This window comes from Homo sapiens, chromosome 1 (assembly GCF_000001405.40).
Source record: "Homo sapiens chromosome 1, GRCh38.p14 Primary Assembly".
Lineage (NCBI taxonomy): Eukaryota > Metazoa > Chordata > Mammalia > Primates > Hominidae > Homo > Homo sapiens.
In genome coordinates this window covers 42,305,834-42,325,852 of record NC_000001.11, presented here as the reverse complement: position 1 = coordinate 42,325,852, position 20,019 = coordinate 42,305,834, and the positions used below count along the sequence as shown (strand labels likewise).

General features: G+C 37.6%; 1 protein-coding gene across 12 annotated transcripts in view; it reads left to right on the top strand.

Moving 5' to 3' along the window:
• Nucleotides 1-20,019, top strand: part of FOXJ3 (forkhead box J3) — a 159,333-nt gene that overhangs the window by 10,028 nt on the left and 129,286 nt on the right. For 6 of the 12 annotated variants that reach the window (XM_047449488.1, NM_001198850.2, NM_001198852.2 and 3 more), the window contains one exon: nt 14,743-14,803. In XM_047449488.1, coding sequence (XP_047305444.1) covers nt 14,760-14,803 — 44 coding nt within the window. In that variant the 5' untranslated portion in view covers nt 14,743-14,759. Of the gene's footprint in view, nt 1-2,025; nt 2,170-10,397; nt 10,508-14,567; nt 14,587-14,742; nt 14,804-20,019 lie in introns of those variants that run through there. The other 6 variants (XM_024454163.2, XM_047449489.1, XM_047449474.1 and 3 more) reach the window with 3 other exon arrangements.

The window sequence follows — 20,019 nt, the reverse complement described above, 5'->3', positions numbered from 1 at the left end:
TATTAAGTGGTTTGGGTTTTTCTTTGCATTAGAAGTTGGTCATTTAGCTCTGCTGATCAAGAAATTAATTTTAGTCCCCTGGAAGCAACCAAGACCTTAAGTTTACTTACAGTAATTATTTATCAATAAATGATCTAGAAATAGCACTCCAATTTAAATCCTGAAAACTAACTTAAGGATCTACTTATAAGCTTCCATTCCTTGGCAGATTTCTAATAAAAAACCAAATTGTTAGTGCTTCTTTAAGGTAGTGTTTTTCATCCAGGTACATTGGACTCATCATTTCTCTCACTCATTCGCTTGCTCATCTGTTCCCTCTTTTGCTGTGTCCTGGGCACAGTACTGAATACTGGGGACACGACTAAGGCAGGGTCCCTGCCAGCAAAGACTACAGCTTTTAGTTTGGGAGAAAAATCAGAGATGTCCTTGGCATCTGGAAGTATCCTGTGATTTCTTCTGTTTTCTTCTTTTCGACTAGAAAGGCAGAATGAGTAGCTTGTTCAAAGAACTTAATGGATTTAGGGATATGAATAGATGGCTTTAAGGGAAGCTGATGGCTTCATAGTTATTTCTCTGATTGCAAAATACTGAAAATTTAAGGAATTTCCTCATCTAATGAGCAATTGTTACTGAGGTAGATGACCTGGGCATTCAGGTTTGCTTTGGGAACTTAATCAAACAACATTGTATCGATTCTTCCAGGATGGAGACAGTGTCTTTTTGACTCTTATCCTCTATACTTAACACTGTGTGTGATACATAATAGACATTATTATATAGCCATTATACAGTCATGTGCCACATAATGACATTTTGGTCAACTGTGGGGCATATATATACAGTGGTGGTCCCATAAGGTTATAATGGAGCTGAAAAATTTCTATTGCCTAGTGACCTCAAAGCCATCATAATCTTGTAGTGTAATTAAAAAAAATTTAGTGTAGTCTGTGTGTACAGTGTTTATAAAGTCTACAGTAGTGTACAGTAATGTCCCAGGCCTTCACAGTCACTCATCACTCACTCACTCTGAGCAACTGCCAGTCCTGCAAGCTCCATTCATTGTTAAGTGTCCTATACAGGCATACCATCTTTTATACAGTATTTTTACTGTACCTTTTCTGTGTTTAGATACACAAATACTTTTGTATTCCAGTTGCCTACCATATTCAGTGCAGTAACATGCCATTCAAGCTTGTAGCCTAGAAGCAATAGGCTGTACCATATAGCATGGGTGTGTAGTAGGCTCTACCATCTAGGTTTGTGGAAGTACACTCTGACGTTTGTACAGTGATGAAATCGCCTAACGACACGTTTCTTAGAAAGTATCCCTGTTGTTAAGCGATGCATCACTGTACTAATAAAGGATGTTGCGTGTTTAAACTTAATTTTGAGAATTTTAATATTACTACAGATAGTTTTGTCTAAAACAGTGATTTATATGTTATATATAGTATATATAGTATTTATATGTTATATATAGTATATATAGTATATATGTTATGTATAGTATATAGTGTATATGTTATATATCTCGTGTATATATAGTGTATATATATAATATATGTGTATAATATATATAGTGTATATATGTGTATATATAGTGTATATATAGTGTGTATATATTCCTAGAATTTATATATATAGTATATATATAGTATATATATTCCTAGAATTTATATATACTATATATACACAGTGTATATATAGTATATATACTGTATATACACTGTGTATATACAGTGTATATACACAGTATATATACAGTATATATACTATATATACACTGTGTATATACAGTGTATATACTATATATAGTGTGTATATATATACTATATATATTTAGTAGTTCCTAGAATTTTAAGAGTTAATCATTCAGGTCAGTGAAATATATCGCTAAAACACTTGATATATAGTCATTTGGCTACTTTTAGAACACCTTTGGTCACTCATAGCTATAAGGTAACCTGTTTGTTGTTAGTTGTAATTGAGGCAAAATATGCATCTAACGTCATCTTTTTTTCTTAGTTCTTCCCTGTGGAACAGTAGAGACCTAGTCTGCCTTCTTTCACAAGATAATCCTTCAATTATTTGAAGGTGATTATTCAGCATATATCTCTTGAGTACCTGTGCATGCAAGACACTGTCCTGGATATTGTGAGAGATCCAAAGGTAATTAAGAGGCATAGTCTCTTAGCAAGAAATGGGTACAGATACTAAGAGCTATGGGTTTACTGAGAAGAGGGAGTGTTTTTTGCTTATGATGATGACAAAAGCTTCGTGGATGAGATAGTGTTTGGATTAAGATTAGACATGGAGCATTCTAGGCTGAGAGCATAGTCAAAGACTTAGAAATGAGGAAGCACAATGCAAGTTAGAGGAATAGAGACCCAGCTTGGCTGTTCCCCACACTATCCTCCAGGATATTAAAACTGTTCGTTGTTGTATCCCCAGCACTTGGAGGAGTGGTTGGCTAATAATTGGTGCTTAATAAATATTTGTTGAATGAATGAATGAATGGTCATATTTGAGAAATACCGATCATCATTTTCTTGGACATTAACAAAGCATTTTAGGATATTGAACACTTTAAGTCATTTAGAGAAAAAAAGTGTTTATCTCAATCTTCTTTAATTATGGAATGTGCATTAACAACTCTTGAAATCCTCTGGAAAATATTACACTGGTCTGTATGGTAGAGGTGAGGTGGAAGGCTAGAAAGTGTTTTCTTCTCCAAGCTAAACACACCCAGTTTCTTCAGTCATTATACACTTGACATTTGGTTTCTGATCCCTCACTAGTTTGATATCCCTCCTTCCAAGGATTCTGTCCTGTAAGTGTTCTTAAAATGTGGTGTTCAGAACAGAACATGTTTCCCTCCATAGGTGATATTTTTTAATTCTATATTAAAACAAAACGAAAAACCCTCAGAATACAATACTCCAGTTGTGAACTAAGTAGTGAGGAATACATGGTACTGTTACCCTCCTTTTCTGGATACTGTTCTTCTAATGAAGCCCAAGTTTGCATTTTGTTTCTTTTTAGCAGCTGAGTCACTCTCTTGGCTCATATTCAGTTCTCATCTTAATTTACAACAAGTTCTTTGAGTAGATTCAGAGAGATTTCCTATTAGTAGAGCTAACTAATGAATGCCCATTTTCTTCTGATTGAGTCTAGGCTGTTTTCTCAGAAGTACTAGTCATCCTTAGCTTCCTGAAATCTGAGAAAGAAAAAAATTAATTATCCATTGGTATTGTTGAGCAACTAACACCAAACAACTTTAATCCAACTGCCCTTTTGAGTATACTTAGAAATATATAAAATATGAAGAATCCCCCTTTACCCATCGAGATTCAACAAATTAAGATAGGTGCCACATATGCCTCAAATACCTTTTTTTTAAGTATTTCAAAGAAAATCATAGACACTGTCTTTTCACCCCTATGTCAGTATGCATCTTTAAGAAAATGTAAATATTTTCTTATATTACCCATGCCATCATTGTATCTAACAAAATAGACAATATTTTTAGGTATCATCTAATATCCAGTTCATAATAAAATGTCCTGATTCTTTAAAAACATCTCTTTACAGTTGGTTTTTAGTTGACTCAAGATCCAGATAAGGTATATAGACTGCATTTGGTTGTTATATTTCTTAAATCTCCTTTAACTGAACCATAGCCACTTCCCACTCTCCCCACCTTTTGGATAATTTGACCTCTTTGGCCCTTCACGTCTCTATCTGTACCAAATTCTGTTCCTTTTGAAATATCTGCTAGATTTTTTTTTTCTTTTATGACAATTCAGCCATCATTTTGAAGTATTATGTGTAGAACATGTGCTAGGCATTATGGGAGATAACAAGTTAATTCGATATTCCAGTGGTAGGGACAGATGTTTACAGAAACAACATGAAATGGATTATTTGTCCTCCAATGCATCATGCCTTGATGATAAAGTCTCCCATTTTTTTTCCCTGGAAAATGATGCCAATGGAATCTTCCTCATACATCTCTTTAATCATATACTGATCAGGAACCCACGTTTGGTTTCCTCTTGAGTCGGTTCATACTTGACTGTTTTTGGCCTGTCACTCAGTTCTTCCACTGGCTCCCACTGTTATCCAAAGTGGCGCAAAAATCTTTTTATTTACTTTATTTAAAAAACCCACGTTTATGTTATGTAGAATTTTCATTTCTCCAACAAGATTATAAACATCTGGAGAGCAAAAGTCATACTGTCTTCTTTTTCTTTGTAATACTGGGTGCTTAATAAGTACTTTTGAAGAGTCCTGGTACATACATCAGGTCTGTTCTTCTGTTTCCTACCTTTCTAGAGTCAGCTGGAGATTCTGCCAGTTAAAAGTAAATAATCCAGACCTGGATCTCTAATTACCTCAGAAGTCTTCTTAGAAACAGTCCATTCAGTGGTCTAACTGAATCAGGGATGATAGATAAATGATTTTCATGTTACCAATTGCTCATCACCATGTCCTTGGCAGACTACTAATTTCTGCTTGTGTTTAGACATTATTTTTTCATTGTAGCACTTCAGGCAGCCACTACCTATTGAGCATTATTGACAAATGATAGGAAACCGTTGTCCTAAACCAGTAGTTCCGGAATCAGACTACATCAGAATCAGCTGAGATAACTTTTAATTAATAGATTTCCCAAGTTTCACCTAAATCAGGATTTCCAGGAATGGGATATAAATGATTATAAAGTCAGCAGTGGTTTGTTTACTGACTTTGGGAATGAGGCAGGTAATTTTTATTTTGTTAAACATCTCTGGCAGCGGAGGCTTTATAGCTTCCTATCTTTTCAGTTTCAGTACAGCATTTTATTCCTCTCACAGCCAGTAAGTTCTGTTAGGTTCAGTGGACTTTTCAGCAATATGGGTAGGATCTGTTGCTTTGAATTCCACCAGGCAAAGCACATGAATCAAATGCCCAAGATAAAGATACAGGATCCAGGGAAGTGGCGTCTTGGTTTTCTAAATATAACTGAGCTCAAATTTAAAGCCTCACAGCCTTTAGCCCTCCAAAAACTCATTCTTTGTTTAGTGAATACCTTTAAATGTTGCTTAAAATGTAAGAGTTCAACATTTTTGCAGTAGATTAGCTTTTGAATTTTTCATATTTCATGTATATTCAATAAAGGTGATTTAAACATATAATGTGATCTAATTTCATATACCTTTAAACATATAATGTGATCTAATATCGTATACCTCTAATTTCATATACCTTTAAACATATAATGTGATCTAATTTCATATACTGTATAATTTCAGTATTTAAACATACGGTGTGATCTAATTTCATATACCTTTTTCAGGTTTTCTGTAAAAATAAATGTGTAAATTGGGAAAGGGTTCTTTATTAGACCACATGATACGATTTTGGGACCAAATATTAGGTAGTTAAGTTTTTGAGCAAAGTAGAGAGACTGAAGCCTCAGGATTATCTAGTGAGTTAATGACAGACCCAGAAATAGAATCTTGTGCTGTTTGCTTGGGTTATGATTTAGTTTGAAGAGGGTGGCCTGTGATCTGTTTACATAAATTGCAGGAAGTAAGGTTTGGGGTTTGGAAGAAGTTATAGCTCTGTGATGTTTGGCCAGGAAGCCCCCCCTCCCCCACGCTCACCACCTCTTTTATTGACACTAGTCCTAAAATATGGAGGAAAAGAGGCAGTTACGTATATTTCCTACTGTTAAAACAGTCTTTAAAAGCTGAAGCTGATTTTTTTTCATCTTCTATTAGTCTCTTCCTGCCCCTGGTCTTGTTTTAGGAGGAGAGGAGTATAGCCGAAGTAGTCGATTTGTAGATAGTGGTAGTTTCCTTGATAATTTTTTCAGGTGTATGAAACTTTTTTATTGGCTGTACATGTATCTTCATTAAACGTGTTTAGTGAATAAACAATATGGTTTAAAAATAGTGGAGGCCACCAGAAAACTATTGAATGGTTCAAGGAGTTATAGATTTGTAAGTAATTGTTTTTTCTAGAGTTGTTTTCTGGTGAGATAGTTACTTTTACTCACCCTTTCCTGTTCCAGCTTTGGGGTTTGGGGGTGGATCCTGTGGCACTAGTGAGAGAAGCAGCAGGAATGTGACAGAATAAAAACATTTGTGTGTGGTGGTTCTGAACTTATTTTTTTTCCTAACTGCTTTGTTGAGATATAATTCACATACCATACAGTTCATCTAGTTCAGTGTAAAATTCAGTGTTTTTTAGTATATTCACAGGATTGTGCAACCATTGCTACAGTCTAATTTTAGAACGTTTTTCTCCTGCCTTGAAAAGAAACTCCATACCTAATAGCAGTCAATCTCTATTCTCCATTTACTTTTTCTCTTACTGCTAACCCTAAGAAACTGCTATCTAATTACTCACATGAATTTGCCTATTTTGGACGTTTGATGTAAATGGAATCATACAATATGTAATCTTTTATGACTGGTTTCTTTCACTTAGCATAATGTTGTTAAGGGTTATACATGTTGTAACATTTATTCCTTTTTATTGTCAAACAGTTATTCCATTATGTGGATATAACACATCCATTCATCAGTTGATGGGCATTTGGATTATTTCCACTTTTTAAACAAAACAAAACAAAACAAAACAGGGTCTTGCTGTGTCGCTGAGCTGGAAAGCAGTGACACGATCACAGCTCACTGCAGCCTCCACCTCTTGGGCCCAATTGATCCTTCCACCTCAGCCTCCTGAGTAGCCGGAACTACAGGCACCAGCCACCATGTCTAGCTAATTTTTGTATTTTTTTAGAGATGGGATCTTGCCATGTTGCCCAGACTGGTCTTGAATTCCTGGGCTCAAGCCATCTGCCTGCCTCAGCCTCCCACAGTGCTGGGATTACAGGTGTGAGCTACTGCACGTGGCCTATTTTCATTTTTTTGCTATTATGATTTAATACTGCTATGAACATTCTTGTGCAGATTTGTCTGTGGATGTATGTTTTCATTTCTTGGGTATAGAATTTCTGGGTCATATGGTAACTCTTATGTCTAACTTTTTGATGAACTGCCAAACATTCCCAAAGTAGCAACACTATTTTACACTTGTACTAGCAATGCATGAAAGTTTGAATTTCTCCACGTCATTGCAACACTTGTTACTTTGTGTCTTTTTGATTATAGCCATGTTAGTGGGTATGAAGTGGTGTCTTGTTTTAATTTGTATTTCCCGGCTGAGTGCAGTGGCTCACGCCTGTAATCCTAGCACTTTGGGAGGCCGAGGTGGGCGGATCACCTGACGTCGGGAATTTGAGACCAGCTTGACCAACATGGTGAAACCCTGTCTCTACTAAAAATACAAAAAAAATTAGCCAGACATGGTGGTGCATGCCTGTAATCCCAGCTACTTGGGAGGCTGAGGCAGGAGAATCGCTTGAACCTGGGAGGTGGAGGTTGCAGTGAGCCAAGATCACTCCACTGCACTCCAGTCTGGGTGACAAGAGCGAAACTCCATCTCCAAAATAAAAAATTGTATTTCCCTGGTGATTAATGATGCTGAACATCTTTTCATGTATTTATTGGACATTCATATATCTTCTTTGTAGAAATGTCTGTTCAGATTCTTGCCCATTATTAAATTGGATTATTAGTCTTTTGGTTATTGAGTTGTAAGAGTTGTTTGTATATTCTGGATACCTAACTTGGTCTTCTAACTGCAGATTGGTCCTAAATTGCTTAGAGATAAAGTGATGGATACAAAAGACTGTATTAAGTAAAGACCTGGTGAGTTGTCAGATCTCATTTTAAGTTTCTTTTTTCCCCCCAATTTTTGAAGAATCTGGTTTATTCATTCACTGAATAAATATGAGTGCTGGCTTTATACTAGGTTTTGGGAATATAACAGAGAATGAAACATGGAGCTCACATTCTGATGGGGGAGAAATAAAAATCATATCAGATGGTGATGAGCTTTTCGGTTTTCTATTTCTATTTATGAAGAATAAAATAAGGTAATAGAGATAATGTGATGAAAATTCTAACATTCTCTACCTTTCCTGAATTCTTAATCTATACCTTCTGTTCTTACATTTTCTACTTAATTTTATTTAATACAACTTGTAGCTAAACTTTTATTTTTCTTTCACTCCTGATTCTTAACCCCTATCCATGCTAATTTTTGCCTTCACTATTCCACAAAACTTACCCACTGTCGTATTATTATCTTCTATTAAAAGCCAGTATTCTCTTTTCAGTTTTTATCCTTCTTGATCTACACTGAACATGATTGCCTTTCTCTCTCTTATATCACTTGCTGCTATCTGCAGTCCAACTTCCTCAAGTTTTTTTTTTTTTTTTTTTTTATGGTTTCTCTTAATTATCTGTGTGGCCTCTCTTCTGATAGATACTCTGTGGTGAATTGCAGATCCTCATGATTTTAATTGCTCTCTGAAAGCAGATGACTTCTTAGCTCAAGATGCACCTCTGCCTTCAGGTTTAGCTAGAGTGGCTGGGATGAACAACTGATTGCTTCTCACTCATCAGGATTCTTTCCCTTTACTCTTTCCTCTGGCACAGTTCTTCTATTTGGGTTGATTAGGATACAGATTATTTTTGTGACTGCTTTAATGATTACCTGTTACTAATGGTATAATAATCTGAAATGTTCAGTCAAGTTTCTTGAATCAAAGGGGTTGTTTCTTCATGAATGTTAGTGAATGTTATACTTTCAAGTCTTTTGGAAAGATATGGCTGAATTCAGAAGCAAAAAAAGGGAATAGCTTCTTGACCTCTAGAGCTGTGACAGTTTTTTAAATAAATAAAATAAATAAAAAATGAATTTTTAATTTTTTTATTTCAGTAGGTTTTTGGGGAACAAGTGGTGCTTAGTTACATGAATAAGTTCTTTAGTGGTGATTTCTGAGATTTTGGCGCACCCATCACCCGACCAGTGTACACTGTACCCAATGTGTAGTCTTTTATCCTTCACCCCACTCCCACCCTTTCCCCTGAGTCCCCAAAGTCGATTGTATCATTCTTATGCCTTTGCATCCTCATAGCTTAGCTCCCACTTATGAGAACATACATCGTTTGGTTTTCCATTCCTAAGTGTAATAGTTTTAACAAATTTTTAATTCTTACCTTTGTCTGGTGTTACACTAATGCTTTCACTCAAGCTACTGTCATAGTAACTGAGGCATTTACTGCATTTTTCCATTCTTATGAAGGAGGAAATTAAGCCTTAGGGAAGTTAACATATCCAAGGTCACACAGTAACTGTCAATAGTTGGGATTCCAGTCTTGAGTCTTCAGCTACAAGGTCATGAATGGTAGTAAGTTTTTTGTAAATTATAAAGCATTGCATTTCTGTGTAGGTGGGAGAGGGGAGAGAGCTCGTAAGTATTTCGAGCTGGGTGTGATGACTCATGCCTGTAATCCCAGTGCTTTGGGAGGCTGAGGTGAGAGGATCATTTGAGGCCAGGAGTTTGACATCAGTTTGGACAACACAGCAAGACCTTGTTTCTACAGAAAAAAAAAAAAAAAAGGCCCAATGCAGTGGTGTGCACCTGTGGTCCCAGGTACTAGGAAGGCTGAAGCAAGAGGTTTGCTTGAGCTCAGAAGTTCGAGGCTGCAGTGAGCTATCATCTGGCCACTGTACTCCAGCCTGGGCAACAAAGCAAGACTCTGTCTCTTAAAAACAAAACGAACTTATTCAGAGCTTTTTCAAAATACTTAGTTCTATTTCACTCCATGCCCCCAGATAATATGTTATTATACAACTGTTAGTGTGTTGCGATGGCTGCTTCCTAAATGTGGATAGTTTGTAACTCAGTTTAATGTACACTTGAATACTGCTTATGTTAAAAGAAATTCCATGCTTTTCTGTTGGTAATGGAATATAATACAGTAAATAGCTTGTATTGCAGCATACTCATTAGCTAATGCCTGGCTTTTAGTACTCATTCTGGTTGTGTCATTCTACTCTTTCTTGATACATATTAGTTTTCAAAAGATTTGGAGATTTATGCTGTAGGCACCAAATAAAACCATGTAAATAAATTATGGATGTAACTGAATGAGTTAATATAGTTGTTCAACTACAGTTGATGCCACAGAGATTTGTTTGTGACTTGGAGGACTTTGAAATTTCCTGACTTCAATGTGAACCTTAGCCTTCTTTTGTGAGATTTCCCTGTTGCTGTTCAGTTGCCTGGGTAGGGAGAAGACTGATATATGTTTGTTCTTTCAGTCAACAAGGCTAGGGTTCAGGACGTCATTTAAGGACGGTAATCTAGAGGAAAAATGAATAACACTGGAACTAAAGCATTGAAGCTAGAGCAGATTGGAAAGATAACTAGAAGTTAGAATTTGATAGTAAATGGTAACTTATTGGAGGTACTAAGGGTGTTGGTGTTTGGACAGTTTAGTATGAGATCATTTTCCCTTGCCTGAGTTTTGAGCTGATTGAGAAATAAGAACCTACAGATGAAGAAGCAAGACAGTACCTTTAAAAAAATTAGCTTTTTATTCAGGTAAAAATCACATACTGTGAAGTTCACCATTTTAAAGTGTACAATTCAGTAGTTTTTAATGTATTCACAAAGTTGTGCAACCATTACCACTATCAATTAGGCCATTTTCATCACTCTAAAAAGAAACCTCCTAGCAGTCACTTCCCATCTGCAATCTTCCTCTCTTCCCCCATCTCCTGGCAACCACCAATCTACTTTTCATTTCTATAGATTTGCCAGTTCTGGACATTTCGTATAAATGGAATCATACAGCATGTGGTCTTTTGTGTCGTTTTCACTTAGCATGAGGCTTTCAAGGTTCATTTATGTGGTAGCATGTAAAAGTACTTCATTCCTTTTTATGGCTGAATAAAGTTGCATTGTATATTTTATGGCTGTTACTTAGATAAACCATACTTTGTTTATCTGTTCATTAGTTGACAAACATTTGGGTTATTTTCACTTACTGGCTTTATGAGTAGTGCTGCACATTTGTGTGCAAATGATCATTTGTGTGCATGTTTTTGTAGGAACATTTAAATTCTCTTGGAGATGTATATGCTTATAATTGCTGGGTTTTATGGTAACTCTGTGTTTAACTTTCAAAGGAGTTGCCTTTGTTTTTGATAAAACCTATATTGTAGAACGTGACTTAGGTTTAAGAGCCAAATGAGTTGGCTGACTTTCTGCAGCCCCTCATGCCCATCTGTCAGTGGGACAGTGCACCCTAGAGGATGTTTGGGTCAGCAGAGCAGACACACTCAGATCATTGCCTTGTAGAATCCTGGATGGAGAGTGAAAAGAAAGAGACTGAGGGCTGGGCGTGGTGCCTCACGCCTGTAATCCCAGCACTTTGGGATCCTAACCGAGGCAGGTGGATCACCTGAGGTCAGCAGTTCAAGACCAGCCTGACCAACATGGTGAAACCCCCTCTACTAAATACAGAAAAGTAGCCAGACATGGTGGTGCATGCCTGTAATCCTATCTACTTGAGAGGCTGAGACAGGAGAATTGGTTGAACCCAGGAGGCAGAGGTTGCAGTGAGCCGAGTTGGCGCCATTGCCCTCCAGCCTGGGCAGCAAGAGTGAAAACTCCGTCTCAGAAAAATAAAAAGATTCTGAGTCCCTGGTACTCAGTTCTTTTGTTAAGTTAGCTCTATGTACTAACCAGTTTACCTCTTTGGAGAGGAATGGGCTAAGAGGCCAGGAGTGTTTACTGAAGTAATTCCTCATAGAGACTAAGAGTTGGAAAAAAAATTAGTCTGCTCTAACAAAGAGTAAGAGTTAAGCTAGAAACCTGAAAGCCATTCTTAGATGAAAAGGCTGTGCCATTTTATCCAGGAAGGAAGTATATTAAGAGAAGATGATGAATTCAGTTTTAAACATGGTAAATTTGGGATTTCCAGGAGGGAATGTTAGATATTTGTTTGGAGATTAGGAGATTGATCTCTGCTAGAGATGAAGATTTGAGATCTATCTACCTTCAGGCAATTAAAATACAAGACTAGGTAAATCACACATAAAACAGTAAAGAAGTATGTCTAGTAATTTTTTTTCTTTTAAATAAAGAAAGCTGCTCTGCTGTGTACGAAACCATGACCCAGAGGCAGGTTGTCTGTGAGTGGTTTAGCGCCAGGTTCCCCACGAAAGTGTGTTCCGTGACAGGCAAGGGGACGGCTGCCTTTTTAGCCACACCCCATTTCCCAGGACGAGGGGCAGTCCACACTGGACCCTGGTCCCAAGGATGTCTAGTAACTTCTATATCTGCATTCCTTGTGGTTTATTGTGCTAACTGATGTTTCTGCTGTATTTTGCTGTGAGTGGCTGATTTCCTTCTGGGTTTTGTGATTTTTAGTTATGAATACATTTATTTTGAGATCTTACCTGTGGGAATTTTTCCAGGCTTAGGTCAAAGGTGATTTCCTCCAGAGAGAACGTACATTTGCTTCTGTCAAGATTGGGTGGGGGATACAACCATCCTAGGGCTACCCTAAACACAATTCTAGGTATGAAGCTTTTTTTTTTTTTTTGAGACGGAATTTTGCTCTTATTGCCTAGGCTGGAGTGCAGTGGTGTGATCTTGGCTCACTGCAACCTCTGCCTCCCAGGTTCAAGCGATTCTCCTGTCTCAGCCTCCCAAGTAGCTGGGATTACAGGCACATGCCACCATGCCCGGCTAAATTTTTTGTATTTTCAGTAGAGATGGGGTTTCATCATATTGGTCAGGCTGGTCTCAAACTTCTGACCTCAGGTGATCCGGCCGCCTCGGCCTCCCAAAGTGCTGGGATTACAGGTATGAGCCACTGCGCCCAGCCGGTATGAAGGTTTTAAAACCATAATCTAGGGGAAGATCAGCTTGTGGTTGTGAAATATCAGGGAAGACACCCTTGCACTGCTGTCACAGTCCCTGATCCCCTCCCAGCACTAAGTGCTGTGGTTAAAAAAGTAGTTTTCCTGGCAGTTTTCTTGGTTAAGAACTGAACATTGCTGCTGTCATAGTCCTGGATCCCCTCACCAGCCCTAAGTGCTAAGGTTAAAAAAGCAGTTTTCCTGGCAGTTCTCTTGGTTAAGATCTGAACGTTGTTGCATCTTGTACATTGTGTCCCACAAGGTCTTGGAATTGCAAGCCAGAATTCATAGTGCTTGGCATAATGCCCTAAAGGTGAAGGAAAGCTATTGTCAGTACTCTGCATACCTTTCTAGTTTCCACTGTTTCACCTAGTTTTTGGATTCTGATCATACCTCATTTTCTGTCAAGTTTTTGATTTATATGTAAAGATTTTAAGATACTTTACTCAGCATTTTCGTTATTTTCAGTGGTTACGAGATTGAGCCATCCACCCTGTCATTCTGGAAGAAATAGAAGTGTCTATCTGCGTCTCTCTTCAGTGTATGCAGGGATAATTATTAGATGCAGGGACTTCAATCACCTTCTAAACCAAAGGTTACAAACTTGCAGCAAAATCCAGTTTCTGTTTGGCCTACATAGTATTTAGGAAATGAAAATCAGGGCCAGGTGCAGTCGCTTATACCTGTAAGCTCAGCACTTTGGGAGGCCGAGGAAGGAGGATCACTTGAGCCCAGGAGTTCAAGATCAGCCTGGGCAACATAGCAAAACCCCATCTGTATTTTTTTAAAACGTTAAAAAATCAAGAGATTGCAGGTAAAATTTTGGATTTTTTTGTTTCTCTTGAAAAATTGGAAGTTCTTAAAATGCTGGGTCTATAATACTCCTGCCTAGCAACAATTGACTAGAACTGGCAATAGCCCTGATCCCTTCAGACTGAACTTGCTCTCTTCAGTTGCTCACAGTTTCCGCCACTTGTGCAGTGTATGCGTATGTATACACTTAAACCCATTTTACCTTATCCCATTTATGTGTTACCATTAGGCATTTGTGAATCATCGTTCTGCCCAATGAAAATATTGATACCCTCCCATGTGCTCCATAGTAGTGCTGATAGACACTTTTACATTTGTTGATTTATTTAATTCTAACAACAAGCTTGCAGTTTAATCCCCTCTGAATAAAGTTATGTGGGTGGTATTAGCCCCACGTTACAGATGAAGAAACTGAGGTTCATTGAAGTTATATAAATCCTTTAAGGTGTCTATAGTGCCACAGTTAGAATTTGAACCTAAAATCTAGAATTTGAATTCAAAGTTCTTTCTGTTTCAGTGCTTCTCTTTACTACTACTACTACTACTACTACTACTTTTTTTTTAAAGCAATGGAACTGTTTGTTTCTTAGATGAAATCTTTGTGAAGTCCAATATTTAAAACCAATAAAGGTAGCACTATTTTGATGGAAGAATAGATTTGGTGGGGCACTTACTTGGGGGTTGGAACCTTGCATGCTTAACTCTGTGGTAGCTTTTGGGCACCTCTCTAGAATCCCTAGGACTCTACTAAAACAGTTTGGACACTTTATGACATAGCCATAATCATTTGTTACATATTATGAAATCTCAGCTTCTTTAGATGTTACAGTTATAGTGTATCTATTTCTGTTACGCTTCCTGATATGTCTGTAGGCTTCCTGATATGTCTGTCTGTCTGAGTGTAATCCCTCTTATGACTCAGTAGCATTTTTCTTTCATGTAAGTTTGTGTTCTGATGGGGTGATTCTTTTAGTAGAATTCTTTAGTAGAACATTCTACTTCTGTTTTCAGAGTGTTTTAAATTAAATCTAAAGTGAGACTTATGGTTTAATTTACTTTGCAGTATCTGATAACTAACTCTTCTTTGCTTTTCAGATTCTCTTTGTGGCCAGATGGGTTTGTATGGACAGGCTTGTCCATCTGTAACTTCATTAAGGTGAGTGCTCTTTTTTTTTTTCTTTATTAGAACATATAACATTTTAAAAGTTAGACTGGTCACCTCATATTACAATGAATTTGAAGGTGAGATTCAGAATAAAATATTGTAGCTTGTTTTGTCAAGTAGTGCAATTTGGCGGAATGGAATGATATTTCTGCTTACTGAAATTTTCGTGGTAATGGGATTTGGATATGCTTTTAATCTTCATTTAGTGAACTGAGTATAGTGTGGTGGTAATTTGTAAATGAAACAACATAATTAACACTTTTTTGTGTTTCTTTTAAAAAGACTAATCTGGGCTGGGCGCGGTGGCTCACATCTGTACTCCCAGCATTTTGGGAGGCCGAGGCGGGTGGATCACCTGAGGTCAGGAGTTTGAGACCAGCCTGGCCAACATGGCGAAACCCTGTCTCTATTAAAAATACAAAATAATTAGCCAGGTGTGGTGGCTCACACCTGTAATCCCAGTTGCTCAGGAGGTTGAGGCAGGAGAATCGCTTGAACCTGGTAGGCGGAGGTTGCAGTCAGCTGAGATCGTGCCACTGCACTCCAGCCTGGGGGACAGAGCAAGACTCTGTCCTAAAAAAAAAAAAAAAGAAAAAAGCCCAGGTGCGGTGGCTCATGCCTGTAATCCTAGCACTTTGGGAGGCCAAGGCGGGCGGATCACGAGGTCAAGAAATTGAGACCATTCTGGCCAACATGGTGAAACCCCATCTCTACTAAAAATACAAAAATTAGCTGGGCATGTTTGCACGTGCCTGTAATCCCAGCTACTCGGGAGGCTGAGATAGGAGAATCACTTGAACCTGGGAGGTGGAGGTTGCAGTAAGCCGAGATCTGCCATTGCACTCCATCCTGGGCGATGAGCAAAACTCCATCTCAAAAAAAAAAAAAAAACCTAAACCTGCTTTCTACTCAATTTAATTAGAACATAGTAAATTTGGTTGCCTTTGTAGCAGATTATTAAATAAGACTGAAGATACTGATTTTAATTTCTTTCTAAGGGATGGTAAAAACATAATATCTAGATTTCTCTCATTTACAATAAAACATGAGAAATGTAAAAAGTAGGAACTGTTGTGTTGTGTACAACACAGTGGTTTCAGATTTTTGAAGTCACCAGATGAGTTTTGCCAATCAATTCATATGTGAAGTCAAATTAGTAAAGCAGATAAACATATGACTTCTTTTTGCTGGTTTAAGCTTCCATGTTCTACCTTCACACTGGCCCCTGAGGGATTGTCGTGGTTCCCAGAGTGAAAAATAATCTAAACCTAATCTGCTAATTGAAATCTTAGAATATGAAGTGTTGATGGCAGGACCTACTAGTTACATGTGGTTGTGCAGTCAGCCATATCATTTATTCATCTAGCATATTGAGCATCTACTGTTGTCAGATACTATTCTAAATGTTGGGGCATAGCAATGAGCATAACATGTAAAAATCCTGTAATCATGGAATTTATATTTTGGTGGAGGGACAATTAATAAACAAAATAGTATAAGTATTTGTTAGTGATATGATAAAGGGCTAAGGAGAAAAATAGAGAAGGGGAATAGGAAATAATAGGAGTATGTGTTATTTTAGACAGGCCAGTCCTAAGGGAAGGCTTCACTGAAAAAGGGGACATTTGAATGAAGATCTTAAAGTATGATGGAGGGAGCCATATATTGGATAAGTGGTAGTCGAGCATTCTTTAGGCACAGAGGGAGTGCAGGAAGGTCCAAGGCAGGAGGCTGCCTTGTATGTTTGAGGAGGAGTGGAGGAGGTCAGTGTGGTTGGAGCAGCCTAGATGATGAAGTGTTACAATTGCCCAGCTTTGGAGGGCAGAAGGAGAGAGAGGACAGATACAAAATTGCCAGAGCCATGATTGGGAAGTCAGGGAATCCTTAGGCTTGAGAGAAATCCTGATTTTCCAGAATGCCACACACACACACAAAATGAACAATGAAGTTACGTTTGTAGTTTTTACATATTTGACTTTTCACAAGTCAAGGCTGACTATCCTATTTCTCAGTAGAAAAGCATTTTTTTTTTTTTTTTTGTAAAACGACTGTTGTTATTTCTTTAGTGTCCACTTTCTACCGATTAGACTTCCTTAAGATATTTTAGTTGTGGGAAATGCTGAAACACTCATATATTAATGTAATTGACTGAAATTTTAAATCTCTATATGTGAATACTATGTTTATCTTTGGGTTAAGCCTTTATATGACATTGGGTTAGGAATAATATGTGTGTAACTTTTGTTTGATGAAAGAGAAGAGGTAACGTAAGTTATGTTATAATTTACTCATTGTGTTGTAATTCCTCTGCACAATATTCTAGAATCAGAATTTTTTGGGATATAGCTATATATCTAGCCTTTAATTTATAAACTGAGAAGCCCTGTGACATCTGAGTCATGATATTTAATCATGGTATCTAGCATTTAATTTATAAACCGAGAAGCCCTACGGCATTCGGAGTCATGATATTTAGTGTCCTTATATATGTCTTTCATTTCTCTAATATTCTGTGTGGTCCACCTCTGAAACAGAGGAATCTCATTCTTAGATGTATGTTTAGAAGACCATTGTCTGTCACCGATTTTTCTTAGTGGAAGCCAGTATTGTTTTGAGACGAAGAAGGGAAGAAAAACTGGATTACTTAATAACCACAATAAATTTTAGTCTACTTTCCCATAGAGTCTTCCCCAAACCAGAAATGGCCCCTGCACACTACACTACCCAATAGGAGTAGAGCCAGAACTCTTAAGGTAACTCAAAACTACTGACAAACACTGCTTGTTTGCCTTCTCTCTCGTATATACTACCTTGTATATACTATCTGTATATCTAGAAAGTGGCTAACCTCAAGACAGGAAGCAAATGAGTTGGTGGAGAAGAACTGGACATATGGCTGGGAATCAGAAAATGGATAGGCAGGTGGGAGTTTGTAGGCACAGGTATGAGTGGGAGTGGACAATTTGTGTATAAGTGAAGGTAGTGAATAGAAGGAAAGTATAAAAAATTTGTTGGTTAGAAGAGGGTAGTTAGTAAGTGAATTAAAACTCTCTCCCCCAGTCTCTCTAAATATTTTGGGTAAGGTAAACAAGTATTGTTTTCTGTGGATGATAGTGGATCCTTGTTTAACCTGACTCTGTTAGAATTGTTGTTAAAATTAGACTTACTGTATTTTTATGATTAAAAAGTAGTACATATTGTAGAAAATTTGGAAAGACAGAACTTGCCTTTTTTATACCAGTAGATATTATATGTGAATTAGAAAAAGACCCTCTAAATTTTCCTTAAAAAAATGGCTGCAAAGTAGTTTGTAGTGATAGTTAAGTATACTCTGTAATTTTAACCAAATTGCTCTGACATTTTGGTCTACTTTACTTGCTGGTATAGGTAGAATTGCATTTCAACAAAAGTCACTGTAACAACATCATATTCTACATGAGACTGTTTTATCATTCAGGGTTCTCTAGGGAGGCTGAAACCATACCAGTATTTGAACAGAGATAATACTTTAATAGAATTGATAACTAGATATAAATGTGTTAACTAAGTAACATAAAGGATAAAAACAAAACTAAAGTATCACAAAGATAGACATAACAGGCGGCAGCTGCTGCCCATAGGGCTCAGGGACCAAAGGGAATGAGAAAACATTAGGAACTTAGAGGAAAGTCCCCAAAGAAATGACACTTAGACCTCTGAGAAGCCGCTGCATGATTGATGATGGTATCTGAGCTTGGCAGAGGGGTTCTGTGAGATTGGGACCCAGACCTTGCTGGCTGATGCTGCTGTCTCTCAGTGGTTTATGATGAAGCTAGTTCTGCAAGTGTTGGAAACACTGCAAGCTGGATTCACTTGTTGCTGTTGGAAGGACCTGCTGCTATAGGGCTGAAGAAGCCTTTGCTGGGGAAATGGCTCTTATGAAACCTGAAGATTAGATAGGAAGATAGTCTTTTCTTCTTCCTCCAACCTTTCAGTCCATCTTTAGTGCCTCTTCTTGGGAGAGCTTTATAGGAAGCCAGCTGGCAAAGCAGGAATGTGGTTCACAGAGAGTCTTAGTGCAAGCACCACAAAGCAGAATACGGGTAGGGGTGCTGCAGTTTGGAGCTGAGGGGCAACAGCTTAAATAGCTGCCATCCTTGTTCCAACAGACTGCTGAGAAATAGGGTACAAGAAGATATTTTCTAAGATGTTTTACAGCTAGTATTTATGAGATTTAGTAGAGTACTGCATATTACTTAAAAAATCCTCAAAAGTTTTTTAAACACTGTGAAATTATATTAAAAATTTATGTTAAGATTCACAAGTATTTGCAGTCTGAATCTATTGTATTTATATCCTGAGTTTGGGTGATAAGAGTCTGGATAGTGAGGGATAGCAGGCCATTCACATCTGTTCAATTCCTGAGTTTTGGATAGCAAGAGTGAGAGTTCAGAGAGTGGGACCGGGCACCGTGGCTCATGCCTGTAATCCCAGCACTTTGGGAGGCCAAGGTGGGCGGATCACGAGGTCAGGAGTTCGAGACCAGCCTGGCCAATGTGGTGAAACCCCGTCTCGACTAAAAATATAAAAAATTAGCCAGGTGTGGTGGCACTCGCCTGTAGTCCCAGCTACTCGGGAGGCTGAGGCAGGAGAATCGCCTGAACCTGGGAGGTGGAGGTTGCAGTGAGCTGAGATTGTGCCACTGCACTCCAGCCTGGGTGACAGAGTGAGACTGTCTCCAAAAAAAAAAAAAAAAAAAAAAAGAAAAAAGTTCAGAGAGTGATGGATGTAATTTCTGTTAAACAGTACAATCTTAAAAGTTTAGCAGAATCTTTTTGTTTCCTGAGTTTGGATAAGATGGATTTGAATCCTCAGATGTACCTGTATTTTATTTCCAAGTACAGATGCAGTAAGAGCAACAGCTTACTGAAAAAGCAAAGGCTTTCCTTGATCGTTTGCTTTATGTAGACAAGTGAATATGTATGTATCTCATATGACATACTTCTTTTACATATTGTAACAATAGACTATTTTTTGTAACTTCCTTTTGTTTCAGTTTTTAATTTTTGTGGGTAAAATGTATATTTATGGGGTACATGAGATATTTTGATACAGGCATGCAGTGCATAATCACATCCGTAAGTGGGGTATATTCATCACCTCAAGTGTTTATCTTTTGTGTTACAAAGAATCCAATTACACTCTTTTAGTTATTTAAAAATGTACAA